Source organism: Homo sapiens, chromosome 2, assembly GCF_000001405.40.
Source record: "Homo sapiens chromosome 2, GRCh38.p14 Primary Assembly".
NCBI classification, from domain to species: domain Eukaryota; kingdom Metazoa; phylum Chordata; class Mammalia; order Primates; family Hominidae; genus Homo; species Homo sapiens.
This window is the reverse complement of record NC_000002.12, coordinates 218,322,388-218,349,639: the sequence shown is the minus strand read 5'-3', so window position 1 is coordinate 218,349,639 and position 27,252 is coordinate 218,322,388. Positions and strand designations below refer to the sequence as shown.

Here is a 27,252-nt window from a genome sequence, read left to right as displayed (position 1 = left end):
TAAGAAATTGAGGCCAGGCACGGTGGCTCATGCCTGTAATCCCAGCACTTCGGGAGGCTGAGGCGGGTGGATCATGAGGTCAGGAGATCGAGACCATCCTGGCTAACACGGTGAAACCCCACCTCTACTAAAAATACAAAAAATGAGCCGGGCGTGGTGGTGGGCGCCTGTAGTCCCAGCTACTCAGGAGCCTGAGGCAGGAGAATGGTGTGAACCTGGGAGGCGGGGCTTGCAGTGAGCAGAGATCGTGCCACTGCACTCCAGTCTTGGGCAACAGAGCAAGACTCAGTCTCAAAAAAAAAAAAAAAAAAAAAAGAAAGAAATTGGCAGGTGAGGTGGCTCACGCCCCTGTAATCCTGGCACTTTGGGAGGCTGAGGTGGGCGGATCACAAGGTCAGGAGATCAAGGCCATCCTGGCTAACACGGTGAAACCCTGTCTCGACTAAAAATACGAAAAATTAGCTGGGTGTGTGGCATGCACCTGTAGTCCCAGCTACTTGGGAGGCTGAGGCAGGAGAATCGCTTGAACCCGGGAGGTGGAGGTTGTAGTGAGCCGAGATCGCACCACTGCACTCCAGCCTGGTGACAGAGGGAGACTCTGTCTCAAAAAACAAAAAAAAGAAGACAGCCGCCCCGTCCGGGAGGGAGGCGGGGTCCAGCCCCCGGCCGGCCAGCCGCCCCATCAGGGAGGGAGGGGGGGACAGCCCCCGCCCGGCCAGCCGCCCCGTCCGGGAGGTTGGGGGCGCCTCCGCCCGGCCGCCGCCCCGTTGGGAGGTGGGGGGCGCCTCTGCCCGGCCACCCCTTCTGGGAAGTGAGGAGCCCCTCTGCCTGGCGGCCACCCCATCTGGGAGGTGTACCCAACAGCTCATTGAGAACGGGCCATGATGACGATGGTGGTTTTGTGGAATAGAAAAGGGGGAAATGCGGGGAAAAGATAGAGAAATCAGATTGTTGCTGTGTCTGTGTAGAAAGAAGTAGACATAGGAGACTCCATTTTGTTCCGTACTAAGAAAAATTCTTCTGCCTTGGGATGCTGTTGATCTATGACCTTACCCCCAACCCTGTGCTCTCTGAAACATGTGCTGTGTCCACTCAGGGTTAAATGGATTAAGGGCGGTGCAAGATGTGCTTTGTTAAACAGATGCTCGAAGGCAGCATGCTCGTTAAGAGTCATCACCACTCCCTAATCTCAAGTACCCAGGGACACAAACACTGCGGAAGGCCGCAGGGTCCTCTGCCTAGGAAAACCAGAGACCTTTGTTCACTTGTTTATCTGCTGACCTTCCCTCCACTATTGTCCTATAACCCTGCCAAATCCCCCTCTGCGAGAAACACCCAAGAATGATCAATTAAAAATAAATAAATAAATAAATAAAAGAAGACATACATGTGGACAACAAACATATGAATAAAAGCTCAACATCACTCATCATTAGAGAAATGCAAATCAAAACCACAATGAGATACCATCTCACACAAGTCAGAATGGCTGTTATTAAAAAGTCAAAAAATAACAGACGCTGGAAAGGTTGTAGAGTAAAAGGAACGCTTATACACTGTTGGCGGGAGTGTAAATTTGTTCAACCAAAGTGGAAGACAGTGTGGTGTTTCCTCAAAGACCTAAAGACAGAACTACCATTCGACCCAGCAATCCCATTACTGGTTATATACCCAAAGGAATATAAGTTGTTCTATTATAATGATATGGTGTGGCTTTTTGTCCCCACCCAAATTTCATCTTTTTTTTTTTTGGGACAGAATCTCCCTCTGTTGCCCAGGCTGGAGTACAGTGGTGCGATCTTGGCCTACTTCAACCTCTGCCTCCCGGGTTCAGCGATTCTCGTGCCTCAGTCTCCTGGGTAGCTGGGATTACAGGCGCTCACCATCATGCCTTGCTAAGTTTTGTATTTTTAGTAGAGACGGGGTTTCACCATGTTGGCCAGGATGGTCGTGATCTCCTGACCTCGTGATCCGCCTGCCTCAGCCTCCCAAAGTGCTGGGATTACAGGCGTGAGCCACCACGCCCGGCCCTTTAATCATTTTTATGAACTGAAAACCAGTGTCACTTGTCAAAAATAAATATTGAACCCAAATATAAATATAATGAAAACAAAACGATGTTGTTAAAGCTTAACTACAGACATTTCCCAACTAAAGTATGAACCTGGATCCCGGGTCTTTCTTTCCAAAGACATTAAAGACAGACTAGTGCCAAGACCGTGTCCTTGAAGTCCAATTGATTGCTGTGCTGTGGCCATGTACAGCCACCCTACTTTGGCCAGTGGTACACTTGTGTATCTCAAGCTTTGGGAAACATTGAGATAAGCAAATCGTAAACCCTGAACAAATGCCCATGGGCCTTGGGAAGAACATATTTTAGGCATCATTTCTCTCTCTCTTTTTAAAAAAATTTTTTTTTTTTTTGAGACAGAGTCTCATTCTGTCGCCCAGGCTGGAGTGCAGTGGTGCGATCTCGGCTCACTGCAACCTCCGCCTCCTGGGTTCACGTGATTCTCCTGCCTCAGCCTCCTGAGTAGCTGGGATTATAGGCTCCTGCCACTATGTCTGGCTAATTTTTTGTATTTGTAGTACAGATGAGGTTTCACTATGTTGGCCAGACTGGTCTCGAACTCCTGACCTTGTGATCCACCCGCCTCAGCCTCCTAAAGAGCTGGGATTATAGGTGTGAGCCACTGCGCCCAGCCTTTGGGCATCATTTCTGATCAAAACTCTTGAAGTGCCTAACTGCAAGTTAGCAGGCCTGGAACTGAGATGGGAAAACTGTGAGAAAGTTCTCTGCTGTTTTCACTCATGTAGCAACAAAGACAAGCTGTTGGGTGATCAAGTCTTGATTAAATCATTCATTCATTCAACATTTATTGAGCGCCTACTGTGTGCTAGGCACCGTGCTAGGCGCAGAAATACAGAGATGCATAAGATACAGTCCATGCCCTTAAGGATTCACAGTCTAGAAGGGGAGACAAACATGTAAACAAGTAAAATACAGTGTGATAAGTGCCACAAGAGAAGCATTGACAAAGTGCAGAGGTAGCCTGGAGGGGAGGGGCACAGGGGTTGCCTTCCTGGAGGAGGGGGCCTTTGAGGGGATCGTGAGAGATGAACTTGCCAGGCAGACAAGGCAGGAGGAGCAGGGGAAGGCATTCCAGTCGGAAGAAACAGCATGAGCGAAGGCACAGAGGCATGAAACTGCATGTCTTGCTTGGTGAGTGGGGAACTCTAACTAGTCTGGTGGTATTGCTAAAGTGTACTAGAGGCTGTGGCTAGAGAAGGGGGCAGAGGCCAGATCATGAGGGGAAACTGAGGGCAGGGGCATCTTGGAGGGTCACCAGAGGTGAGCAGAGCCCGAGGGCAGGCTTTGACACAGGAAAAGAGGGCTCCTGGCTGACTCAAGGTACACCTGCCTGAGGACCACAGGGTTCCTCGCTGTGGCTCCAAAGGGATCTCGACCCAAGAGTAGAGGAGCAGCAGAGCTGGAGGTGAAGCAGAGGGGTCGGGCCAGGTCTGGGACCCAGAGCTGCCATGCACTCCCGCGCTCTCACAGACTTCTGATTTCCAACCTGCACGTCAGAGCCCCCTCCTGCCAGCCGGATGGGGGCCTGGATCCAGTGGGAAATCACATGGGAATATGGCTGGCAAACTGCAAAGGGCCAGATGAGTGTCAGGTTACAGAATAAATCTTTACTAACTCAAAGAAGAAAAGGGCTGCGGATAAAACAGGAAAGGTTAGATGGAGGAAGGCGGGCAGACGGGCCTAAGAACAAGGGCCAAAATGAGAATACAGCATCGGCCAAAGAGGACCGTGGCTGTCTCTCCCCTGGCAAGGAGGGGCCCTTTTGGCCCAGGGCAGAGGCAGAGGCCAGTGGGTACAACCAGGCCAGATGTGCAAGGAGAGCATGTGACCTGCAAGACTGTGGGGCTCCACACTCCAGACTCCAGTGTCTCCTTAGCCCAATGAGGAGGTTTCCTTGGCAATCAGGACCCTCCTTCTTCCAGGCTGTAGGGAGGCCACTGAGGCAGAGAGTGGCCAGCCAGCATTCCAGCCCTTCAGTGTTCTTAGGAATGGCTCTGTCTGAAAAATGGCTTTGCAGGGATGGGTGGGGCAGGGAGGCTGTGGGAAGAGGGCAGAGTCTCAGGACACCAGAGTCCAGCTGCCCATCTGAGTGGTGCTTTTGTAAGGCATCACACTTGAGGCCACTGTGAGGGGCTGAGCTTCTTTCCCAACCATGGATGGGGGAAGGGCAAGATGGACCCTGGGTTCCAGGGCTACAGTGAGATGAGGCCTCCTGACGGAGAAGCTAACAGCAGCCCCCATGTCCTTGCTGCCGTCCCAGGAGTAGGGAAGGAGGAGGGGACCCTCCCAGTTGGTAGGGTCTGGAGATGTCCCGAGACCCCTCCTTTCCTCTTGCCGTTGATGAGGCAGCCTCGCGCTGCGGGGTTCCCAGCCTCCAACAGGCCCCCTTCTTTTGGCCTCACAGTCTCATCGCCTGATCCCTCCCCTCCCCTGAGCAGTGTGGGGGGATGATGCCCGCTTGGGTGCCGATGGAGGTGGTGGTGTTAGCGATGAGAAGGATGATGAGGTGTTGGTGGTGGCGGCCTCCCCATGCGGGGAGTGGGCTGGGCTGGGGGCGCTGGGGGCATCACTTGCTCTTGTGCATATCCTTCAGCCGGCGGAGCTCTTCCAGGAGCTGGGCCCGGGAGTAGTCATCATCCCCAGTGGGGCCCGGCCCCGGCCCCAGAGCCTCCTGTAGCGCCAGGCAGTGGGTTCTCAGGAACGGGTTGTAGGAGCGCTCCTCTCCCAGGGTAGATGGGCACTGTGGGTGAGAGGAACCAGGTTTGGTGGAGAGAAGCTGGGAAATGGACCCAAGACAGAGAAGCCTGACCCGACCCCTGCCCCATCCTGGAGTTCAGGAGTTCTGACTTGAGGGCCCATGGGCCAAAGAGGTCAGAGTTTTGGGGAGGTGCTCGCAGGCCTGGGGTCAGCATGGATGGGTTCCCGTTGGGGCTGAGTGCCTGCCCACACAGCTCCTCCTGGACCCCGAGTCCCTCACCGTGCCCTTGCGCTCCAGCCGCTGCCGCTGCACCCACTGCATCTTCCTCTCCCGGGCCAGGTTCTCGGGCTCCACCACACCTGCAAAGCCCAGGTTCTCCTCTGCATACTCATGACCTACCGACAGCCATGAGGGTGAGACACAGAGCAGAGAGAGATTGGTGGTACAGTCAGAACAGTCTTCCCTGCCCCAGGTCCAGGCTGATGGGCACCTGACAACTAGGGATGAGGTCAGCACTTCCAGGAAAACCCCAACTGCCAGGAGCTGCTTCTCTAACTGTGGGCACAAGTCAGCCATGGGTGAAAAGGTGGCAATAGTTCCAGGGGAAAAAACCACTAGACCTGGAGCTGGCAGGCCTGCATCTAGCCCTGACTCCACCAAGCCTAGCATGTGACCTCGGTCTAGTCATGGCCCCTCTCTGAGGCACAATTTTCTCATTTGGCAAGTGGAGAGAACAATGATGCCACCAGACACAGATGTACCTGCTGTGTTCCTGGTGCCTGGAACAGAGCCTGGTATGTGTTAGGTGCACATAAAGTACTTGATGAATGAATGAATGAATGAATATATGTTCTGAGGATTAACAGATATCTGTGAATGTTTTTATGCACCACAAGGCAATGGTTACATGCAGAGTGGATTTACTGACTTCTCCCCAGATAAGCAAAGGCTATTTTCTGTTCTGGGCTAAGGCTATGAACAATTAGACATCTCTCTGGAATGCCCTGGGGCCTGCAAGGCTCCCAAGAGGCTGAAGGCTGACTGGCAGGGGAAGGTAGTGTGAGAAGCAGAGGTGGTACGGAGCCAGCACTCCAGGAAGAAGGGAGGCCAGAACTCTGTCCCTACCCCTAGAGGTGGAGCTGTGTCGCTTCTGGGCCAGGAACTGGGCTGGCCTGCTTTCTAGGGGAGTGAGGGGGTGGGAAGGCCCTTGTCCCAGGCTGAGCGTGGGGCTGGAGGATGGGGAGTAGTAAGGGGGTGTCTCACCAGGCCACAGAAGGGTGTCATCCCCTAGCCCCAGCACAGTGTCCAGTGAGCTCAGCATGGTCTCTGCATTGCCCTCAAAGGTCCGCCCTGGGTGGGGGTTGGAGGGTATGTCACAAGGTGCCAGGATAACACAATATGGCATAAGGCACACCCAGACAGGTGGGAACCAGCTTGTAATGCTCTGGCTGGCCGTCAGCCCTGACTGTGCACTTTCCAGACCCACCCCAGGCATCTATTCCCTCCTCACTGGGAACTGGGCCCAACTGGTCACCCCCTGACCAAGCCCATCCGAGGCCTCCGTTGCACACAGTGACACCTGAAGGGAGGGGCTGTGGAATCTTCGGGCTGCAGGCCCCAGGCTTGGTAGACGCAGGGCTGCTCTTTCCCACGGAACACTTCTTCGCCTAGGCTGCCCTTTGGGATTTCATGCAGCCTGGGACTTGTGATCCTCACCCACCCACTCACCTAGCTGTTCTTAACTTTTCATAACCTAGTCCTGCCAGTCACTGTATCAGAGAACCAGTCTCCACCCAGGGGAAACTAATTCCCTGCAGGGCTTTACTCAGCTACAGACATTCTCCCATTCTGTCCCGCAGCTGGCAGAAGTCTTTTTTATTTTTGAGACAGAGTCTCATTGTTGCCCAGGCTGCAGTGCAGTGGCACAATCATAGCTCACTGCAACCTTGAATTCCTGGGCTCACCACCACACTGGCTAATTTTTGTATTTTTTGTAGAGACGGGGTTTCACCATGTTGCCCAAGCTGGTCTTGAACTCCTGGGCTCAAGCAATCCACTTGCTTTGGCCTCCCAGAGTTCTGGGATTACAGGCCTGAGTCACTGCTCCTGGCCTATATTATTTATATTATTTAAATTTTTTTTTCTGTTTTGTGACAGAGTCTCACTCTGTCTTCCAGGTTGGAGTGCAGTGGCGCGATCTCAGCTCGCTGCAACCTCTACCTCTCGGGTTCAAGCAGTTCTCCTGTCTCAGCCTCCCTAGTAGCTGGGATTACAGGCATGCACCACCATGCCCGGCTAATTTCTGTATTTTTAGTAGAGACGGGGTTTCACCATGTTGACCAGGCTGGTCTTGAACTCCTGACCTCAGGTGATCCTCCCACCTCAGCCTCCCAAAGTGCTGGGATTACAGGCATGAGCCACCACGCCTGGCCTATTTTAAAATTTTTTTGTAGAGACAGTCTTGCTATTTTGCCCAGTCTGGTCTCCAACTCCTAGCCTCAAGTGATCCTCCTGCCTCAGCCTCCCAAGGTGCCCCAAGGGAAGTCTCAAGGATTAAAACCAATCTGAGTAACACAGATGGAAGTAACTGCCACGGCAACATCTGTGCTAAAACTAAGGCTTCAGTGCTCTCCATGGGACTGTGGCTGCCCTGGCTTCTGTCTCTCCCTCCTCTCCCAGCTCCTCTCTCTTTCGGGGAAACTCACCACAGCCAGAGAGGAAGAGCAGGTCCCCTGAGAAGAGGCAGGAGGGACCCTTGTAGGGCTCCCCATCCAGTAGGTAGACCAGATGGCCTTGTGTGTGGCCAGGTGTAGCCAGGGCCCGGATCTGAAGCCGTCCCACGCTGACCACATCTTGATGACACAGGGGACTGGGGAACAAGGGAGCAGGGGACAGAAGGTATTGGATCTGTGCCATGCTGATCCCTGTCCCCATCCCAGGCCCAAGGGGCTGGGTGATTCACAAGAGAGTGGGCTTCCATACAAAAGAAGTCACCCCAGTGCCTCGGGTCTCAGGTCCGAACCCTCCCCCTTTCCTCTTTTGGGGACTATGGCTGGATCAGTTGGGGGATGGGCAGTGCCAGTCTTCAGATAGGCTGGGATTGGGCCAGGAAGGGCACTGGCAAAGATCCACCTGCTGATACCCCTGAAACACTTCACTGAAGGCTGGGGGTGGGGGAAAGGGCCCATGGAAGGGCCATCCCTTGCCTAGGTCAGGGACTTACTGGGTGAGGTAGGGGATGCCGTCCTGAGGGCTCCCGTACACCCGACAGTCCCGGTGCCGCCGGCTGAGGTCACGGTTCCCTCCACTGTGGTCCCTGCAGGACAGCAGAGACAGGCAGGGGGCTTCGAGGGGCAACTGTACCTAAGCCCCCTTCTTTACCACAGCATCTCCAGGCCTTTAAGTGCTGGGGCTGTGGCTTCTGGACTAAGCCAAGTTGTCCACACCTCTAGGCCTTTGTTCAAGCTGTTCCCTTGCCCAGAACATCGCCCCCAACAACTCAAGCTGGCCAATGCCAGCCGAGCTTCCTGAACCCTCAGCTCAGGTCATCATCTTTCAATTCTCCAAGTGGATCTGATCACACCGTGCCTGGGCCTCCCATCCCTGTTCCCTGTGCCAACTGTTACCTAAATATCACATACTTCTTTTTTGAAGACAAGGTCTCACTATGTTGCCCAGGTTGGGCTTGAACTCCCAACCCTCTTGCCTCCGCTGTTATATACTTTGATACAGGGCTACCTCCCCTATTGGTCTTAGAATTTCCTTGATGGAAGAGTCATAACTTTTGTCCATGCCCAGTGTGCAGTAGGTATCTAATACATGCCCATGAAATGAAAGAGAAATGACTGCCCTGCCCTCTGGGGCTTCAGAAGCTTGATCAATGGAGTGGTGGGAGACTGTCCCCTCTCCTCCCTCCCTGCTGGTGTCCAGGTGACTTCACGAGGAAGGCGGGTGCCGGCCCGTACTGACTTCTTGATCTCTGGCCCCGGCCGTCCTCAATGGGCCCAGTCCTGGCAAGCCCAGCTGGGACAAGGGTGGGCCAGGGAAGACGGGAGCCCCTTACCAGTGCTTGTGAGTACACAGAATGGCGACCAAGGTGACCCCTTCCTTTTCAATGGAAGCCTGCGAGAGAGAGGAGGTTTGGAGACTGGGGAGCAGGATGCAAGAGGCACTTGAAGCAGCAAGAGCCAGGAGTGTGGGCGCTGGTGGAGAGGAGAGGAGAGCATGGAGAGATGAAGCAGAGGAAAGGGATGGAGCTGGAGGGGAGAGATCCAGGAATGTGAAGCACGGGGCACATGGAGGCAGAGGGACACTTGTACATAGAGAGAGGCAGACACAGAGAGATAAGGAATGGGAGGGAAAGACAGAGAGACCCAGATACTGACAGACAGAGGTGACAGAAAGAAAGGGGGTCTGAAGGGGGCCAATGGGAGTGAAAGCCAGCCTGGAAACTCACTAGACCCAGAGTCCTGGGCCAACACCCCCAGCCCTCTGGCTCTGCATCCCCCACTCCTGCTCTCCCCTTCTGCCCAGCCATGCCCTGTACCCCCCTTCCCCAGGCTATGTGTGCGCATGTGCACGTGTGAACATGGAGCATATGGGACACATCCCACGGGCAGACGGACAAGGGTCAGCCCTCTCTAGCAAGGCGAAACTGCCAGTCCCCAAGGTGACTCCAGGCACCCCCTGCTCCCTGCCCTCCCCTCACCTGCACAGCCCGAGGGTCTGAAGGGTCCACAGCCACAGCCAGCTGGGCCTGGGTGTCGATGATGAGGTAGCTGTAGTTGTCCGAGAGGACAGGGATGGGAAGCACCTTCACTCCTGGGGACAGAGATGGGCTGTGGGCGGGGTAACAGGCAGGGAGCCCAGGGGCTGGGGTATGTGAAGGGGAGCAGGCGGGGAGGGTGGGGGCACAGAATGGGGGATGCTGGCCGGGGCAGTCAGAGCTCACCATTGAAGAGGCGGGGCTGGGTTTTCGAGTGGCCTTTAGGGTAGCGATTCCGAGCCCTGCGCAGCTGCTGTCGGTAGAAGAGGTACCCGAGCCAGGTGCGGGTGTACAGGCTGTACCTAGAGGGCGAGTGGGTGGCCTATGATTAGCCTTTTCTCCCTAGCTCCCCTAGACTCCTTCGTGATGCCTGCAGGCCCCACATCTCCATTCCTTTGGTGACCCTGTGAGCCAATGCAATTCCACTCTCACTTATTATGTGCCTACTGTTTGCCCTGCTTAGCACTCAGGACAAGATGGAGAATGAGACGGACACACCTAGAACTCAAAATCTATCAGGGAGACATGAACTGAGGAACTCACAGAAGAAAATTGGAGAGGCCAGGCGCAGTGGCTCACACCTGTAATCCCAGAACTTTGGGAGGCCGAGGTGGGCGGATCACCTGAGGTCAGGAGTTCGAGACCAGCCTGACTAACATGGCGAAACCCTGTCTCTACTAAAAATACAAAACTTAGTCGGGTGTGGTGGCACACGCTTGTAGTCCCAGCTACTCAGGAGGCTGAGGCAGGAGAATTGGGCATCGCACCACTGCACTGCAGCCCAGGCCAAAGAGTGAGACTCTGTCTAAAAAAAAAGAGAGACTTGGAGAGTGAGGGGTTTAATCTAGCCCAGGGTCTAGCACCTCTGATGAAGTGACATTTGCAGGGAAGAAGGAGTAGGAATTAGGAGGCTGAAATGAGGTAGAAAAAATATTTCAGAAAGAACAGTGGTGGTCAGACTTTAGCATGCATCCTAATCATCTGAAGAAGGTTGGGTACAGTGGCTCACACCTGTAATCCCAGCACCTTGGGAGGGAAGGAGAGAGGATCACTTGAGCCCAGGAGTTCGAGACCAGCCTGGGCAACATTGTGCCCTATAGGGTCTCTACACACACAAAAAAAAGAATAGCTGGGCGTGGTGGCACACGCCTGTGGTCCCAGCTACTCAGGTAGCTGAGGCAGGAGGATTGCTTGAGCCCGGGAGGGTGAAGCTGCAGTAAGCCATGATTGCACCACTGTACTCCAGCCTGGGTGACAAAACAAGACCCTGTCTCAAAAAAAAAAAAAAAAAAATCATCTGAGGCTGGGTGTGGTGTCTCACGCCTGTAATCCCAGCACTTTGGGAGGCCGAGGCAGGTGGATCATCTGAGGTCAGGAGTTCAAGACCAGCCTGACTAACATGGTGAAACCCCGTCTCTACTAAAAATACAAAAATTAGCCGGGTGTGGTGATGGGCACCTGTAATCCCAATTATCTTTTTTGTAGAGATGGGGTCTCAGTTTGTTGTCTAGGCTGGTCTCGAACTCCTGGGCTCAACAAATCCTCCTGCCTTGGCCTCCCAAAGTGTTAGGATTACAGGTGTGAGCCACCGTGTCCCACCTGAAATTCTTTTTTTTTTTTTTTTGAGACAGAGTCTCGCTCTGTTGCCCAGACTGGAGTGCAGTGGTGCAATCTCGGCTCACTGCAACCTCCACCTCCCAGGTTCAAGTGATTCTCCTGCCTCAGCCTCCCGAGTAGCTGGGATTACAGGCTCACACCACCATGCCCGGCAATTTTTTGTATTTTTAGTAGAGACAGGGTTTTGCCACGTTGGCCAGGCTGGTCTCAAACTCCTGACCTTAGGTGATCCGCCTGCCTCGGCCTTTCAAAGTGCTGGGATTACAGGTGTGAGCCACTGTGCCTGGCCAAGCCTGAAATTTTTGTTTGTTTGTTTGTTTTTGAGAGGGAGTCTCACTCTGTCGTCAGGCAGGGGTGCAGTGGTGCAATCTCAGCTCACTGCAACCTCTGCCTCCCAGGTTCAGGCGATTCTCCTGCCTCAGCCTCCTGAGTAGCTGGGACTAGAGGCGTGCACCACCACACCCAGCTAATTTTTGTATTTTTAATAGAGATGGGGTTTCACCATGTGGGCCAGGATGGTCTCGATCTCTTGACCTCGTGATTTGCCCACCTTGGCCTCCCAAAGTGCTGGGATTACAGGGGTGAGCCACCGTGCCCGACCCTGAAATTCTTAATGATTTTATCTTTGACCTTGTGTCTTGCAAGTGGAGCCTGATAGGACAGTGGGACATGCAGGGAGCAAGAGACACACACAGTGAGTGTGCTCCGTTCCTCGCTTATCATACCTATACAGAGTCTGCAATGCCCATGAGCACACAAATCTGGGGGACACACAACGCATGGGAGTTCAACAAGACTCAAAGCAAGTACAAGGCGAGTGCACACCTATGACTGACCCAAGAGGCCAAGCTTTCAGTTCAAACTAGAACGTGCTTCAAGTGCACAAAGACAGAGGTGTTCTAAGAAACACGAATGACCAAGGAACTCTGCTGCATCCTTTCTTGCTTTTGTGTTATCCACCTATTTATGCTGCAAATAGCGATATAGAAAGGAAAGGGAAGATAGGGTAACCAATCCATCCTTTTCCTTTCCATCCTTCCTTATTAACTAGCAAGCCAACAGTGCTGGCAGAATGTGCACGTATTAAGAATTGAAGGCCGGGCGCGGTGGCTCATGCCTGTAATCTCAGAACTTTGGGAGGCCAAGGCAGGTGGATCACATGGTCAGGAGTTCAAGACCAGCCTGGCCAAGATAGTGAAACCCCATCTCTACTAAAACTACAAAAATTAGCTGGGCGTGGTGGCAGGCGCCTGTAATCCTAGCTACTTGGGAGGCTGAGGTTGTAGTAAGCCGAGATCTCACCACTGCACTCCAGCCTGGGCGACAGAGTGAGACTCCATCTCAATAAAAAAAAAGAAAAGAATTGAAGGCTGGGTGCAGTGGCACACACCTGTAATCCCAGCTCTTTGGAAGGCAGAGGCTGGTAGATCACTTGAGGTCAGGAATTGGAGACCAGCCTGGCCAACATGGTAAAACCCCATCTCTGCTAAAAATACAAAAATTAACAGGGTGTGGTGGTGGGCGCCTGTAATCCCAGCTACTTGGGAGGCTGAGGCAGGAGAATCACTTGAACCTGGGAGGCGGAGGTTGCGGTGAGCCAAGAAGATCACACCATTGCACTCCAGCCTGGGCAACAAGAGTGAAACTCTGTCTGAAAAAAAAAAAAAAAAAAAAAAAAAGAATTGAAGGCCAGGTGTGGTGACTCACTCCTGTAATCCCAGCACTTTCGGAGGTGGTGATGGAAGAAGTGCTTGAGCCCAGGATTTTGAGACCAGACTGGGCAACATGGCGAGACCCTGTCTCTACTAAAAATGCAAAAATTAGGCAGGCATGGTGGCATGCACTTGTGGTCCCAGCTACTTGGGAGGCTGAGGTGGGAGGATCACTTGAACCCAGGAGGTCAAGGCTGCAGTGAGCCATGTTTGCACCACTGCACTCCAGTCTGAGTGACAGAGGAGACCCTCTCCTGGTAAGAACTAAATACACATCCATGTATAAGCTAAGAAATATTAATTATGTCGTTTCTGTGATTCTACAGGAGTTAAATGTCCTTATATTTGTATTTAAAACAGGCATTGCACAATATTAAGCAAATGGTAAAATTCCTGCTAATAATTTAAATGCTTCTTACTTAGAATGACATTAAATAGCAAATTAAAAACATCACAGGTCAAAATAGAGATTGTAGAAGAAAAAAAGCTTCATATTTTAGTACTTTTAATGGCTATTTTTTCCAAACTTTTTTTTTTTTTTTGAGATGGAGTCTCACTCTGTCACCGTGCTGGAGTGCAGTGGCACGATCTTGGCTCACTGCAACCTCTGCCTCCCGGGTTCAAGTGATTCTCTTGCCTCAGCCTCCCGAGTAGCTGGGATTACAGGCACCCACCACCACGCCTGGCTAATTTTTGTACTTTTAGTAGAGACAGGGTTTCACCATGTTGGCCAAGATGGTCTCAATCTCTTGACCTCATGATCAACCCGCCTTGGCCTCCCAAAGTGCTGGGATTACAGACATGAGCCACCACGCCTGGCTGACCCTAAGTCTCTACAAGGATTGACCGTGTATGTGGGAGCAGGGGCAGCCGCTCTTCAGACCCCTAAGGGGAGAGCTAGCTGATTTGTCTGCAAGCAGTTGGGTCAAAACCAAGCAGGTTTCCATGGCAATTTGTAGATATGATTTAGGTAAAGTTTAATCACTGCATTGTCTGCTCTATGTACCCATGGGTTTATATTGATTGGCAATCTGGGCACATGGTTGAAGGGCTTTGCCAACCTTTATTTGTCTTTATGTTCCTTTTTCGTAGGCCTTCTTTTTTTTTTGGTTTTATTTCTAAATTAGATTTGGCCAACTTACATTTCTTCAACAATATTTACTGAATCCTTGCTATTGGCCAGGCACTGAACACACACTGAGCAAGGCAAACTCACTGTCCTTGTGAAGGTTCTATCTAGTAGGACAGACAGGACAATTAACATTTTTTTTTTCCAGATGGAGTTTCACTCTTGTTGCCTGGGCTGGAGTGCAATGGCGTGATCTTGGCTCACCGCAACCTCCACCTCCCAGGTTCAAGCAATTCTCCTGCCTCAGCCTCCCAAGTAGCTGGGATTACAGGCATGCGACACCACGCCCGTCTAATTTTGTATTTTTAGTAGAGATAGGGTTTCTCCATGTTGATCAGGCTGGTCTAGAGCTCCCGACCTCAGGTGATCTGCCTGCCTCAGTCTCCCAAAGTGCTGGGATTACTGGCGTGAGCCACCGCGCCCAGCCCATTTTTATTTATATTTATATTTATTTATTTATTTATTTATTTTTTAAAGAGATGGGATCTTCCTCTGTCAGCCAGGCTGGAGTGTGGTGGCTCAGTCACAGCTCACTGAAGCCTGAAACGCTGGGGTTCAAGCGATTTTCCACCTCAGTATCCCGAGTAGCTGGGACTACAGGCATGAGCAGACATGCCCAGCTAATTATTTTTATTATTTTTTTGAAGAGAAGATGTCTTGATTCGCTCCCAGGCTAACACCGAGAGTTTCTAACACACAAGAGCACACTCTTAACACCTGGAGACCCCAGTCAAATCACCCAAGTATGATGAGAAAGAGGATATTTGCATAATCTCAAAGTATCTCCTTCACAAAATAACCACTAATTATAAAGGCCATAGAAACCTGGCTAACTCCACCTTAAGCCAGTGATCAAAGTTAATCTCACCAGTAACAATATATAGACATCATTTGCCTCTTGGTATGATGCACTGAGGAGGGCATAAGATCACTTCTGTGGTATTTGTGCCAAAAATGCAAATCTATAATTCTTTTTTTGGGTCTTGCTCTGTCACCCAGGTCAAGAGTGCGGTGATGTGATCCATAGCTCACTGCAGCCTTAATGTCCTGGGCTCAAGCGATCCTCCCGCCTCAGCCTCCTGAGTAGTTGGGACTACAGGTGCGTGCCACCATGCCAGCTAGTTTTTTAAATTTTTAGTATAGAGATGATTGCCCAGGCTCTACTCTTCAAATGTTGCCCAGGCTCTACTCTTCAAATGTATTGACAAGATGAAAGATAGACTGAGAAACTGTCCCAGACTGGAGGAGACCAGGAGATAAATGCAACGTGGGATTCTGGACTGGATTCTAGATCAGAGAAAGGGCAACAGCAGGGAAAAATAGTGAATTTGAGTAAGCTCTGAGAATACTTCATAGGATAGTATTGATGTTAATTTCTTGGTTTTGATGACTGTACTGTGATTATGAAAGACGATAGTATTCAGGGGCGAGAGGCATATGGGAATGCTATATACTATTTTGACAAGTCTGAAATCATTTCAAAATGAAAAGTTGTGTTTGTTTGTTTGTTTTTAGACTGAGACTTGCTCTGTCATCCGGGCAGGAGTGCAGTGGCATGATCTCGGCTCACTGCAACCTCCATCTCCCGGGTTTAAGCAATTCTCCTGCCTCAGCATCCTTAGAAGCTGCTATTACAGGTGCCCGCCACCACGCCCGGCTAATTTTTGTATTTTTAGTAGAGACAGGGTTTCACCATGTTGGCCAAGCTGGTCTGGAACTCCTGACTTCAGGTGATCCACCCGCCTTGGCCTCCCAAAGTGTTGGGATTATAGGTGTGAGCCACGGCGCCTGGCCCAAAATGAAAAGTTAAAAAATAAAATTAAATAAAATCACCCTTTCCTCTGACAGACACCACCTTGCACCGATGCCTGAGTCCCATTCCTGTCTTCATTTCTCGCTACATGGGCTTATGGAAAGAACAGAGGCTCTGGCAACAGAAAGATCTGGGCTCCCATCATAGCCTGGCCCCTGTTGACTCTGTGACCTTGGGCAAGTCATGAGTTTCACAGATGAGGTTCCTCATCTATAACATGGCAATGCTGTGACTTACCCCGAAGGACTGTGTGAAGATTAAGTGCCTAAAATAAGAAAACTAATGTAAAGCACTCAGCCGAGAGCCTGGCAAGTGGAAGATGTTTAGCAACTGTTGTTTCCTTCCCAAATTCAGCCAGGAAGTCCTCCCAGCTGCTAGAGCAGGGTCATGCACATCTGGGAGGGGTGATAAGCTCCCCGCCTCCCCTTACTAAATGCTGACTACGTGTTCCCAGGTTCTGTCCCTAAGAAAGGACAGATCTGTGCGGGCAGGGACTCTGCACCAAGAAGCCGCAGTAAACAAGGCCCCTCCTTGTCACTCGCTGTATCTGGCAAATACTGTGCATGATGGACACAGTGGAGACAGCAGAAACAAGGCAGAAGGGGTCCTGCTTTCGGGGAGCTTGTAATGTGGGGAAAGGGAGGGCCAACAGACATTAAACCAGAAACCGGATTAGTCAGCAAACTGCCAGTAACTATGGCTGGGGGTGGAAAAGAGTGGCCGGAAGGGAAGAGGCCCTACTGTAGACAGGGTGCCCAGGGAAGGCCTCGTCCCCAGAGGGTGACATTCGTGCTGGAAACTGCAAGACCGAGCCAGCGGCATGGACGGTTCTGGGTGATGTGGCACCAAGGCAGGAGGAGTGTGGAATTTTAGGAATTGTCAGGAGGCCTCGGAGTCTTTGGGCAGGGCTGGAGGGACCAACAGTGCTGGAGAAGGGGTTGGTGAGGTGGGCAGGGGCCAGGCCATGCAGAGAGTGGAAAATGGCTGGTGGTTGTTAGAACAGGGTGCACAGGATCAGACTCCCTTTCTGAGAGCTCACTGGGCTGCTGAGTGGAGAAAAGGGGCAGGAGGTACCGAGTCATCCAGGTGGGAGAGAGACAGGGGCCTGGATAGAGGGGGTGCTGAAGGTGGAGAGGGTGGGGTGGCAGGGGGATGGGAGACCTGTGCCTGGCTTGGATGTGGGCTAGGGACAGGTTGCAGTCCTTGCTGGCCTGAGGTCTTGATCTTTGGGCAAAGCAGGAGAAGGCAGGGCTGAGATGGGGAAGGAGGAAGGGAAGGGGAGAGCAGCCTGAGGACCTAGTGGCTCTCCCCAGCCCTGTGCCCTGCCCTGCCAAGGGCTTCCACAGGACTCTCTAAGCCACTTAGCTTAGGCTCTCCCTCCATCTGCCTGCAGAATTGGTGAGTGACAGTCCCCATGGTCAGCTCCCCATCCTGCTTCTTCTCTTTCTGGGAAAGGCCCCCTGTCCTCGCAGTTGCATTTAGCCCTCTCCCTGGCATATGCAACCAAAACAGGATCCCTCTCAATTTTGCCTTCCACTGCCCCCAGCGCAGCCTCACCTGTGAGAACAGGCCCTGGAAACTCACCTAGGGCCTTACAAGAGCCTCTGTCCCCCAGCTCTCTACCTCCAACCCAAACTGCAAAGCACTGGCAAAAAGAAGTTCCTAAAGCGCCGCATTTTGCTGAGACTTGCTCCTGCTCAAAAGTCTTCAGTGGCTCCTCACTGCTTATTAGCAAATGTCCAACTTCCAGTCAGGCCTTCTGGAAACTGAGACCACAGCAGGGACTGCCTCCTCCCCTCCTGTACCGCCCAGTGATAATCCCGTGCTCCCAAGAGTGAAAGGGCGGAAACCCCCTAAATGACTGCCACCAGCAAAATGTACAAATAAATCCCAACATACTCAGACCTTGGAAAACTGCACAGCAAGGGAAACACATGATCTAGAGCAACAGGTTTCAACATTCACAAAGCTCAAGCACGTATTGTTATGCTGAGACATACCACAGAGAAAACAATATGACTATATTCATTAAAAATACAAAAGCATGGCTGGGCGCGGTGGCTCACGCCTGTAATCCCAGTGCTTTGGGAGGCCGAGGTGGATGGATCACCTGAGGTCAGGAGTTGGAGACCAGTCTGACCAATATGGTGAAACCCCGTCTCTACTAAAAATACAAAAATTAGCCGGGCATGATGGTGCAAGCCTGTAATTCCAGCTACTTGGGAGACTGAGGCAGAACTGCTTGAACCTGGCAGGCAGAGGTTGCAGTGAGCCAAGATTGTGCCACTGCGCTCCAGCCTGGGTGACAGAGCAAGACTCCCTCTAAAATAAAAAAATAAATAAATAAAAATAAAAATAAAAAGCATGCAAAACAATCCTGTATATTTGTTTTGGGTTTTTTTTTTTGAGACAGAGCTTCGCTCTTGTTGCCCAGGCTGGAGTGCAATGGCATGATCTCAGCTCACTGCAACCACCGCCTCCCGGGTTCAAGCGATTCTTCTGCCTCAGCCTCCCGAAGTAGCTGGGATTACAGGTGCCCACTACCACATTTTTTGCATTTTTAGTAGAGACGGGTTTCACTATGTTGGCCAGGCTGGTCTTGAATTCCTGACCTCAGGTGATCCACCTGCCTCGCCCTCCCAAAGTGCTGGGATTACAGGCATCAGCCACCATGTCCGGCTGGAACCTGTGCCCTTCTGTCTTCAATCCCCCGTCCCACCTTCCCAGGATGTCACTGCCCCATGTTATGGCCCCTGGTTTCTTAAGCCATTACCAGAGATACGGCTTCTTCTGTTGCTGGAGGCAAGAAGCAGGAACTCACTCCCCTAACCTCAGTTTCCCTTTCTGTCAAATTGAGTGCTCCCTTGCAGGCTGGGCCAGTAAGTTCATGTGACTCACAAGAAAATACTGATGCCCTAGGCCCAGATGTGGGTTCACGCTCTCTCCATGGGCTTCCCAGGCACAGTCAGCAAGCTGGGATCCAGGACAGTGCTTCTCTAAGATGGGCCTTGGCCCACCTATATTAGAATGATCTGGGGGTGCTGGTTAAACAAAAAGATTCTGACCTTCTTCTCCTCCTCCCTCTTCCTAGATTTTGATTCAGCAGTTCTGGGGACAGGAACTACCCATCATCACCTCACCAAAAAGAAAATAAAATTTCCCAATTGGTCCTCTGGGACTTAGGTGGGAGGCAGAAAAACCATTCTGCAAGATGGGGAGCAGCCAGCCTGGGCAAGTGGCAGCTGCCCCAAGGGACCCTCCCTGTGGGGTTACAGCTGCAGACAGCACCAGCACCTCCAGTGTAGGGTCAAAGTGCACCTTCCACTCCTTGCCTCAGTGAGCCAGCAGTTGGTGTCTCTGGTATCTGAATGTGAGCCTCCAGCCCCGTGGGAGGCAATGTGGGACAGCTGGGGACAGTGAGCCACTGCCCCCCCAGACGCCCCTCCCTCTGGCACACAGTGGAAAACACACAATGAAGCTCTTCTCTCCTCCGTGGGGCCATTTCACCATCCTGGGCAGCCCTGAGAGAAGCCTGAAGGTTTTCAAGCCTCTGTCCCAGCTAGGCCCAGGGCCGGCCTCAGGCCAGGGGGAGTAGGAAGGAGGGTGGAAGGCAGGGGAGCAGCATAACAGGGGCTCTGCCTCCCACAGAATGATCTGGAAAGCCCCTATTGCCAGGGTCACCTGCCTTGACTCCTCCCTTCCTCCTACACCCCTTAAATGTCCCCCCGATCCCACAAGGCCCCAGACTCCACTGGGACCCAACAGGCAAGCTCAGGCTGGTGGGGCCTGGCCGGGGACTGTTCTGGTTTCTCCCTTCATGTCCTCAGGACCCAGACTGCCCAGGCTCTGCATCTCACCAACGACAGGGCACTCCTAATGAAACAGAACTGAAAGTGCCTGTCTGAGAGCTGAGGGACCTGGAGGGCCACCAGGACACAGTGTTCTATGGGACCCGAGGTCTGCTTAGAGGCCCCTCAGGAATGCAGAGAGCAGCTCCATGTTTTGTGCATTCTCAAAACTGAGGAAACTGAAGAAGATAACAAAACAGCTAAAAAGCCCTTGAGGGTAAGGGTTTCCCCGAAGTTGCCAGCATGCCTGGGGGCGTGGGGACTTCCGCATGCACAGGAGAGGGACAGGGCTGCTCCGTGGTCAAAAGAGGAGATCCCCAGGTCAGGGTCTGCCATCGCCCTGCCCATCCCAGGACAGGTTCTTCCCCAGACTTCACAGCCCTCTCCAGAGGACGCCCATCTGTCACTGACGGAAGGGGAGGGGCTGCTGAGGGCTCTTGGCTAGGACCAGAAGCACAGTAAGAGCTGGTGGCCTCTCCATGGTCTCAGCCCTGGCTGGGAGGCCTTGGCTAGTTCTGTCTCCATGTGTGTAATCCCAGGCCACCTGCCCGCCAAGGGCTCTGGGCTTTGTTTAGTTTTGGTTTGTTTCTTGTGGCTTTCCCCTTCTCTCCTCGCTCATCGCAATCCCAGGCCTTCCTGATTCGATCATGCTCCCTGAGCTAGGCCTGAGGGTCCCAGAGGGCCACCAAGGACACAGGGTTCTAGTGGAGCCGGGTCTGCTCCAAGGCCCCTTAGTTTTTGCTTGATTGTTTGTTTTGACACAGAGTCTTGCTCTGTCATCCAGGCTGGAGTGCAGTGGCGCGATCTCCACTCACTGCAACCTCTGCCTCCCAGTTTGAAGCGATTCTCCTGCCTCGGCCTCCTGAGTAGCTGGGATTACAGGGGTGCGTGACCATGCCCAGTTAATTTTTGTATCTTTTAGTAGAGATGGGGTTTCGCCATGTTGACCAGGCTGGTCTCAAACTCTCGGCCTCAAGAAATCCACCTGCCTTGGCCTCCCAAAGTGCTGGGATTACAGGTGTGAGCCACTGTGCCCGGCCCCAAGGCCCCTTAGGAACACAGAGCAGTCAGGAAGGCCGGTCCGTGAACACCTAACTCCAGTACAAGCAAGAATGCGCACGGGAAGCTCGAAGAGGGAAGACAGTGCTGGGGGCGGTCTGGAGACAGAGGTTCATTTTGACTGAGGAGGCCGGGCAGGCTTCATGGAGAAAAGGGCACCTGAGCCAAGCTTTTCATTCATTTATTCATGCACGCATGCATTCATTCAGAAACTTTTTTTCTTTCACATCAGACGGATACCGTGCTGACATCATCACAAGGTTTGAGGGAGGTGCATCTTACCTATGTGTGTGAAAACCCAGTCATACTTAGGAATTACAAAAGGATCATTCAGAGGCATTTAGTAAGGGCCACCTAGGTGCCAGGCACTGTTCTGGAATCTGGGATACAGTCTTGAACAAAGTTTCTCCCCCTGTGTAGCCATATTCTGGTTGGGGGAGAAAAACAATCAACATTTAGTGTGTCCCATGGTGATGTGAACTAGGGTGAACATAAAGCCAGAGAGGGGACAGGGTGCAGGGGTGAGGGTGGTGCTATTTTTATGTGAGGTGGTCAGGGCAGGGCTCTCAAATAAGGCAAAATTTGAGCAGAGACCTGAAGGAAGTGAGGCAGCAAGCCATGTGGAGCCACAGAAAGGCCTGATGGTAGGGTTGTCTTGGTGTATTTGAGGCCTGGGATTACGACCGGCAGAAACAGAATTAGCCCAGACCTCTCAGCTAGGACTGAAGCACCGTGGAGAGGCCACCAGCTGTGGCTGAGACAGAGGAACAGGCTGAAGGGTGCTAAAAGATGTGGTAAGGATGGGCAGGTCACAGAGGGCCCTGAAGCCACTCTTCGAATGGACTTGGACTTCATGAGAGAGGTGGGAACTCGCCGGAGGAGTTTGAGCAGAGAAGTAATCCATTCCTGACTTAAGTAACAGTTTCCTTTTTTTTTTTTTTTTTCAGATGGAGTTTCACTCTTATCACCCAGGCTGGAGTGCAATAGCGCAATCTTGGCTCACTGCAACCTCTGCCTCCTGGGTTCAAGCGATTCTCCTGGCTGGCCCAGAGTGGTGGCAGTGGAGGCAGGGAGAAGTGTTCACATTCTGGGTACCTTTGAAGGTGAGCTTTGAAGATGCAACAGAATTTGACAGTAGAGATGTAGGGAGGAAGGAAGGCAGGACAGGTCAGACAGAAGTGCAGGAACAGCTCAGGCCTGGGGGAGATGAAACTGGGCAGGTCTGTAGGGGGTGTGGGAAGGCTGCAAAGGCCTGGGCGAGGGGCGTGGCTCCATACTGTCGGCAATGTGGCTTGCAGAAGGGGACACTTGATCAGAGCCACACTTTGAAGACGAACCAGGCAGCAGGGGGAAGCTGTGTCAGTGGGGAGAGCAGAGAGCAGCAGGGAGGCATGAGGCTGCTGTGGGTGCTCTGGCCACAGTTCTCCACGGTCCCACAGGCCCCAGAAAGGAAAAGGATCCTGCTCCCCTCCTGCCAGGCTGCGACATGGATAGCCCAGCTCACTGCATCTACCTGGCCTCATTCGGGGGGCTGGGAGGATTCACTCAAGGACCCTTCCATCAGGCTTCTGCCACTCTTGAAATCAAGCCAGTGGGACGCATTGGCCCCAGATAACGGCTTTCCTCTTGCAGAAGTAGAGCAAGCTAGGTCCGTCCCAGGGGGGGTTGCCAGGGTCAGGAAGGACCTTCTATGCCTAGGAATGGAGAGGGGGCTTGGTCAGGGAGGGAAGGCTGTCACTAGGACTGGCTTTCTCCACAGGCCAGCTGCTACCCACCTCCTCGGCTCTGCAAGACACTCCCAGACCTGCCTGTGTCCTATTCGTCTCCCCTCTGCAGACAGAGGCTCTCCTCAAGACTTTGTTCTGCAAAACCCCCACCACTACCCCTAAGAAGGCAAAAGGGCAACTGAGGCATGAAGCAGGGGGCACGCACGGGGGAGTCCCACATTCCTGATCTGACTCCCCAGGCATATTGTGCTGCTTCTGGGGAGCTTGCCACGGCCTGCCTCCTCCCGGGTTTGGGCCCTTGTTTATATCTGTTCACCTGTGCTTTCCCCTTCCCTGCAGAACAGCGATCAGAACCTGTTCATATCTGGGACCCCACAGTCCTTACCTAGGGCAGCTAGGTGTTCCCTGGCTGAATGAAGGGATGTGGAGTTTCCTGCTGGGTGGTGGGTAGGACAGGCTTGGAAGACAGGGGTGGAATTAAGTAAGGAAGCTCCAGAAGGACACAGGGCCATAGATACTCTCCCACCCAACTCCAGGCCACATCAGGAACACCTGCTAACATTTCCTGAACACTCTTTTTGAGCCAGGCCCTGTGTATTTTAGATGCGGTTTCATTTGATCTTCACAGGAGCCCTATGAGGTAGGCATCCCCAACCCCACTTTATAGATGCAAACAACTAAGGCACAGAGAAGTTATTTGTTCAAGGTCACATGGCTACTAAGCAACAAAACTAGGATGCAAAAGCAGATTTGTTCGACCCCACATGCTGTGTGCTTTGCTACAATCCACACTGTCTCCCAGGCCCCACAGAGCCCCAAATGCATGTGTCTCACCAGTTTCACCTGTGGCCACTGTGCTCAGCTATCCTCATCCTAAGACAATTGTAGTTATGGTTAAGGAAAGCCTTTTATTAAATTGCCAAACACCAGGGATGATGATTACTAATGATAACATGGTCAACAGCTCTCCTCCCGGTGAGCCTGGTGTTTCCATCATTGCCTTTCCACCCCCAGTAGAATCCTCTATTTGCGATCCTCCCAGCCACACCTTCAGGTTGGTAGTGCATGTGCCCTCCCCCTCCCCATCATGTCCTGTCCCATTCCGTTCCCCCTCCCTCCCCATCCTTCCTGGAGGCACCCCTAGCACCAACACCTGCCCATTTCCCCCCTACAGTTTCCTGCAAATATCTCCTTTCCCTCCCAGCAGCCAGCAGCATCTCCCCCTGGGGACTGGACTGATTGTTTCCCAGACTATGAGGAGCAGGGTCTGGAATTCTGACTCCAGGCGCACCCTTCTCTCTGCAAATTTGAGGAGTGGATTCCAAAGCAACTTTGAAATCCAGACACAGGAAAGCCTGTAGAAATACTGCATTTTGAAGAAGCTCTCCAATGATTAGAGTTTTGGAGATTTGTAAAATCCCACGTCTCAAGTTCCAGGCATACCCACACCCTCAAGATTCTGAGATAGTGATCCTGGCATTCTGATCTCAGGAATTCTGATTCCAGTTCCTTATGGAAACTTCTATTTTCCACTTCCTCAGGCCATTTGTATGACCTCAAACTTACTAATTTTGAAAGCTAGAAGTAGATTTAAAAATCTTTCCCCAGATAAGGCTGTAAAATTCCCAGAAATTTTGTGGGGAGAAAATGTTTTCATTAAAAATCCCAAATATGGGCTGGGCGCAATGGCTCCCACCTGTAATCCCAGCACTTTGGGAGGCCAAGGTGGGCAGATCATGAGGTCAGGAGTTGAAGACCAGCCTGACCAACATGATGAAACCCCATCTCTACTGAAAATACAAAAATTAGCTGGGTATGGTAGCAGGTGCCTGTAGTCGCAGCTACTCAGGAGGCTGAGGCAGGAGAATTGCTTGAACCCGGGAGGCGGAGGTTGCAGTGAGCTGAGATTGTGCCACTGCACCACTCCAGCCTAGGGAACAGAGCAAGAGCCCGTCTCAAAAAAAAAAAAAAAAAAAAAAAAGGCCGGGTGCGGTGGCTCATGCCTGTAATCCCAGCACTTTGGGAGGCTGAGGTGGGCAGATCATGAGGTCAGGAGTTTGCAACCAGCCTGACCAACACGGTGAAACCCTGTTTCACCATGCTGAGATCATGCCATTGCATTCCAGCCTGGGTGACAGAGCGAGACTCCGTCTCAAAAAAAAAAAAAAAAAAAAAAAAAAAAGAAAATTATTTAGATACCTTCATGTTTGGGATTTTTTTTTCTTTTTCTTTTTTTTGTTTTTTGAGACGGAGTCTCACTCTGTCGCCCAGGCTGGAGTGCAATGGCTGCGATCTCGGCTTACTGCAACCTCCCTCTCCCGGCTTCAAGCAATTTTCCTGCCTCAGCCTCCTGAGTAGCTGGGATTACAGGCGCTTACCACCGTGCCCAGCTAATTTTTGTATTTTTAGTAGAGATGGCGTTTCACCATGTTGGCCAGGCTGGTCTCGAATTCCTGACCTCAGGAGAGCCACCTGCCTCAGCCTCCCAAAGTGCTGGGATTACAGGCGTGAGCCACCGCACCTGGCCTAAATATTTTTCAATCTCATTATTTTAATGCAACGTGCAGAGCAATGGTAACTTACTTGGCACATTATCTAAACTGCGACCAAGGTTTAGGATATTAGAGATGTGAATGCCCCAAAAGGCACAAACACAAGATCCCCACCCCACCCTCCAGCACCATGTTTTTCTAGTTATCCTGCCTTTATATCTGCATTTCTTAGACTGTGAGTGGAATCCTGCGCCTGAAGCTTCTGGGCGTGTGGGGTGGTCTGGGGAGGAGAGGGTGAATTGCACAATGTCTGCTCGGAAGCTCGGGAAATTCCCAGGCTTAGGCTCTCCCCACAACCTGGCCTGTGGCCAGGGCTCTCACAATTCCCATCCCCAACATTACTGTCCCTAAACTGGGGCTTGAGGTCCTGACCCATGGCCAGGCTGGTAGTAGGAAGGGGACAGGGGGCCTCGGAGGCCTGTCTTCTTCCCTGCCTCTCAGTGTCCCTGGGGCTGAACAGTGCTTGCTAGGCACCACCCTCCCCTGGGGCCAGGAAGGAAGGGGTAGAGGGAGGCAGGAGGGCAGAGTGAGCGGGGGAGGGTCGACGGAGACAAATCACTGGAAAAGTGGGCAGAGTCAGTTGGGTCAGATTTCACAGCCTGGGGCTTCCACACGGGCCAGGCTTTGGTTAGAAGGAAAGGGACATACTGGAATCCAACAGGGTTGGGACTCTTGCTTGGGACAGAAGAACCTAACTTGACTGGTGAGGAGTTGGATGCTGGGGAGTGGGACAAGGACATACGAAAGGAGTTGGCGGTTTTAAATGTCAGACGGTGGGAGGCATTCCTTCTCTCCGGCACTTGCCATCGGAGCCCGGGCATCTGCTGACCTCACCCCCGGACAGGGACGGTCTTCCCAGCCCTGGCTCCTGCACTATCCCCCTGTCCAGCTTCCTGGTCTCCAGCCCATTCTGTGGCACTTTGCTCCAGATGTCCTCTCACGCCCTCCTTCCGTGGCCACCCTGGCCCGCCTCTCCGATCCTCCTTCCCCAGCTTATCCCAATTGTCCAGCCCCCCAAATCCCTCAGGCCCCCCAACTCAGTGGCTTCTCCAGTCCGTCTCCTCGATCCCTCTTCCCTTAGACCAAGCCCCTTCCTAACCGCCACGCCCACCCCCAGCTCCAGCCCCCGCCTCCCAGTCCCCTCTCCCAGCGCGCCCGCCTCCCGAGCCCGCACGCTTCGGAGCCCGGGCACTAACCCGATTCGGAAGAGCAGCCGCTGGCTGTGCGCCATGAGCAGACCGCGGAGGCCCCGCCGCGCTCGGCAGCCGCGGGGGCTCACAAGTAGGACGAGGACAAGGACGAGGAGGAGCCAGCAGCCGGCGACCCACTGCCACGCCGCGGGCCAGCCCTGCCAAGCCATGCTGGGGGCAGGCACGCGCCGGCCGGGCGGGGCTCGGCGTTGCTAGGCAACGGCCCGGCCCCGGCCCCCCGCGGGGAACCTGCCTGCCGGCTCTGGACGTGGGGGCGTTGTGGCCCCGCCCCGCCCATTGACCTCTCCTTTGGACCCGCCCCCTCACCACCTCCAGCCGGGCAAGCACCCCGAAGGCCACCCGGCTTGGGGGGCGGCCTGGCTCCGCCCGGCTGGCGGCCAGGAGGCGGGGCCACAGCGGGCCGCGAGCCTGCGCTGATCGGGGTCCACAGTCGCCTGAGCCCTGGGAAGGGGCAGGAGCTCGCAGTTCGCCCCGCCCGCCTCCCCGTCCAGGGCACTGCTACACTTTCTCAACTGGCAGAAACCTGAGAGATCATCGGGGTCAGCTGCCATTCATGGATTTATTCATTCGCCGAATTACTTTTCTAGCTCCTCCTATGTACTTGGCACTCTGCCAGGCTCTGAGGAGGATGCAAGGGTCAAAGGCACACTGTCTGCATTCCTGGAGCCCACAGTCCGGAATCTAGTGAGGCGACGAACCAAATAAGCGAGCAAACAAAATTATATCTGTTTATGCATACACATACATATGCGCGTGATAAATTGCGAAAGGAAGTCAAGGAGGGGGCAATGATATGGAGCACAGAGAGGGCCAACTTAGATGGGGGAGGGCCTCCCCAGCGGACGACATAAGTCCTGCCCTGAAGGATAGGAAGAGGCCACACAAGCTCTGGAGGAGCAACATGACCTAGGATATGTAGCCATGGGTGGCACAGAGGGGCCTAGGGCTGGGGCATTCCCACTCCCAAACCCAGGGCGATTTCCACATCACCGTTCCCAGCTCCCTCACTGCTGCCCTCCTGATGGATTC

The 27,252-nt window shown here is 52.9% G+C and overlaps 1 protein-coding gene, 1 long non-coding RNA gene and 2 other non-coding genes across 7 annotated transcripts in view, besides 10 other annotated features; 1 reads left to right on the top strand and 3 right to left on the bottom strand.

Annotated features, from left to right (window-relative positions):
• Positions 1–23,399, top strand: part of CATIP-AS2 (CATIP antisense RNA 2) — a 31,726-nt gene extending 8,327 nt beyond the window's left edge. The window contains exons 3-4 of the long non-coding RNA NR_125777.1: positions 21,681–21,836; positions 22,493–23,399. This is a non-coding gene — a long non-coding RNA (CATIP antisense RNA 2). The remainder of the gene's footprint in view (positions 1–21,680; positions 21,837–22,492) is intronic.
• Positions 176–726: an enhancer, noted in NCBI's record as "H3K27ac-H3K4me1 hESC enhancer chr2:219213637-219214187 (GRCh37/hg19 assembly coordinates)". NCBI's record gives its function as "activates a minimal SCP1, AML or CMV promoter by ChIP-STARR-seq in naive H9 embryonic stem cells {active_cell/tissue: H9 hESC(naive)}" and the evidence as "EXISTENCE:reporter gene assay evidence [ECO:0000049][PMID:30033119]".
• PNKD (PNKD metallo-beta-lactamase domain containing) overlaps positions 2,847–27,252 on the bottom strand; it is a 76,275-nt gene continuing 51,869 nt past the window's right edge. The window contains exons 1-9 of one of the 4 annotated variants that reach the window (NM_022572.4): positions 26,209–26,461; positions 9,742–9,857; positions 9,499–9,611; positions 8,854–8,912; positions 8,014–8,106; positions 7,496–7,659; positions 6,054–6,140; positions 5,070–5,185; positions 2,847–4,832 (exon numbers count right to left, since the gene is read on the bottom strand). In NM_022572.4, the coding sequence (NP_072094.1) occupies positions 4,659–4,832; positions 5,070–5,185; positions 6,054–6,140; positions 7,496–7,659; positions 8,014–8,106; positions 8,854–8,912; positions 9,499–9,611; positions 9,742–9,857; positions 26,209–26,372 (1,086 nt within the window). In that variant the 5' untranslated portion in view covers positions 26,373–26,461 and the 3' untranslated portion in view covers positions 2,847–4,658. Of the gene's footprint in view, positions 4,833–5,069; positions 5,186–6,053; positions 6,141–7,495; positions 7,660–8,013; positions 8,107–8,853; positions 8,913–9,498; positions 9,612–9,741; positions 9,858–26,208; positions 26,462–27,252 lie in introns of those variants that run through there. The other 3 variants (NM_015488.5, XM_017003772.2, XM_017003771.2) reach the window with 3 other exon arrangements.
• Positions 5,623–6,122: an enhancer, noted in NCBI's record as "H3K4me1 hESC enhancer chr2:219208241-219208740 (GRCh37/hg19 assembly coordinates)". NCBI's record gives its function as "activates a minimal SCP1, AML or CMV promoter by ChIP-STARR-seq in primed H9 embryonic stem cells {active_cell/tissue: H9 hESC(primed)}" and the evidence as "EXISTENCE:reporter gene assay evidence [ECO:0000049][PMID:30033119]".
• MIR6810 (microRNA 6810) lies at positions 7,660–7,729 on the bottom strand. The gene has a single exon (NR_106868.1). It is a non-coding gene; the product is annotated as a microRNA 6810 (primary transcript).
• Positions 19,006–19,055: an enhancer, noted in NCBI's record as "active region_17121". NCBI's record gives its function as "activates an Ori minimal core promoter by ATAC-STARR-seq in GM12878 lymphoblastoid cells {active_cell/tissue: GM12878}" and the evidence as "EXISTENCE:reporter gene assay evidence [ECO:0000049][PMID:35858748]".
• Positions 19,140–19,966: an enhancer, noted in NCBI's record as "H3K4me1 hESC enhancer chr2:219194397-219195223 (GRCh37/hg19 assembly coordinates)". NCBI's record gives its function as "activates a minimal SCP1, AML or CMV promoter by ChIP-STARR-seq in primed H9 embryonic stem cells {active_cell/tissue: H9 hESC(primed)}" and the evidence as "EXISTENCE:reporter gene assay evidence [ECO:0000049][PMID:30033119]".
• Positions 19,140–20,005: a biological region, named in NCBI's record as "H3K4me1 hESC enhancer GRCh37_chr2:219194397-219195223".
• Positions 19,796–20,005: an enhancer, noted in NCBI's record as "active region_17120". NCBI's record gives its function as "activates an Ori minimal core promoter by ATAC-STARR-seq in GM12878 lymphoblastoid cells {active_cell/tissue: GM12878}" and the evidence as "EXISTENCE:reporter gene assay evidence [ECO:0000049][PMID:35858748]".
• On the bottom strand, positions 20,960–21,060 carry LOC124906179 (small nucleolar RNA U13). The gene has a single exon (XR_007088764.1). It is a non-coding gene; the product is annotated as a small nucleolar RNA U13 (small nucleolar RNA).
• Positions 22,387–23,131: an enhancer, noted in NCBI's record as "H3K4me1 hESC enhancer chr2:219191232-219191976 (GRCh37/hg19 assembly coordinates)". NCBI's record gives its function as "activates a minimal SCP1, AML or CMV promoter by ChIP-STARR-seq in naive H9 embryonic stem cells {active_cell/tissue: H9 hESC(naive)}" and the evidence as "EXISTENCE:reporter gene assay evidence [ECO:0000049][PMID:30033119]".
• Positions 26,167–26,762: an enhancer, noted in NCBI's record as "H3K27ac hESC enhancer chr2:219187601-219188196 (GRCh37/hg19 assembly coordinates)". NCBI's record gives its function as "activates a minimal SCP1, AML or CMV promoter by ChIP-STARR-seq in primed H9 embryonic stem cells {active_cell/tissue: H9 hESC(primed)}" and the evidence as "EXISTENCE:reporter gene assay evidence [ECO:0000049][PMID:30033119]".
• Positions 26,167–26,764: a biological region, named in NCBI's record as "H3K27ac hESC enhancer GRCh37_chr2:219187601-219188196".
• Positions 26,245–26,764: a silencer, noted in NCBI's record as "silent region_12314". NCBI's record gives its function as "represses an Ori minimal core promoter by ATAC-STARR-seq in GM12878 lymphoblastoid cells {active_cell/tissue: GM12878}" and the evidence as "EXISTENCE:reporter gene assay evidence [ECO:0000049][PMID:35858748]".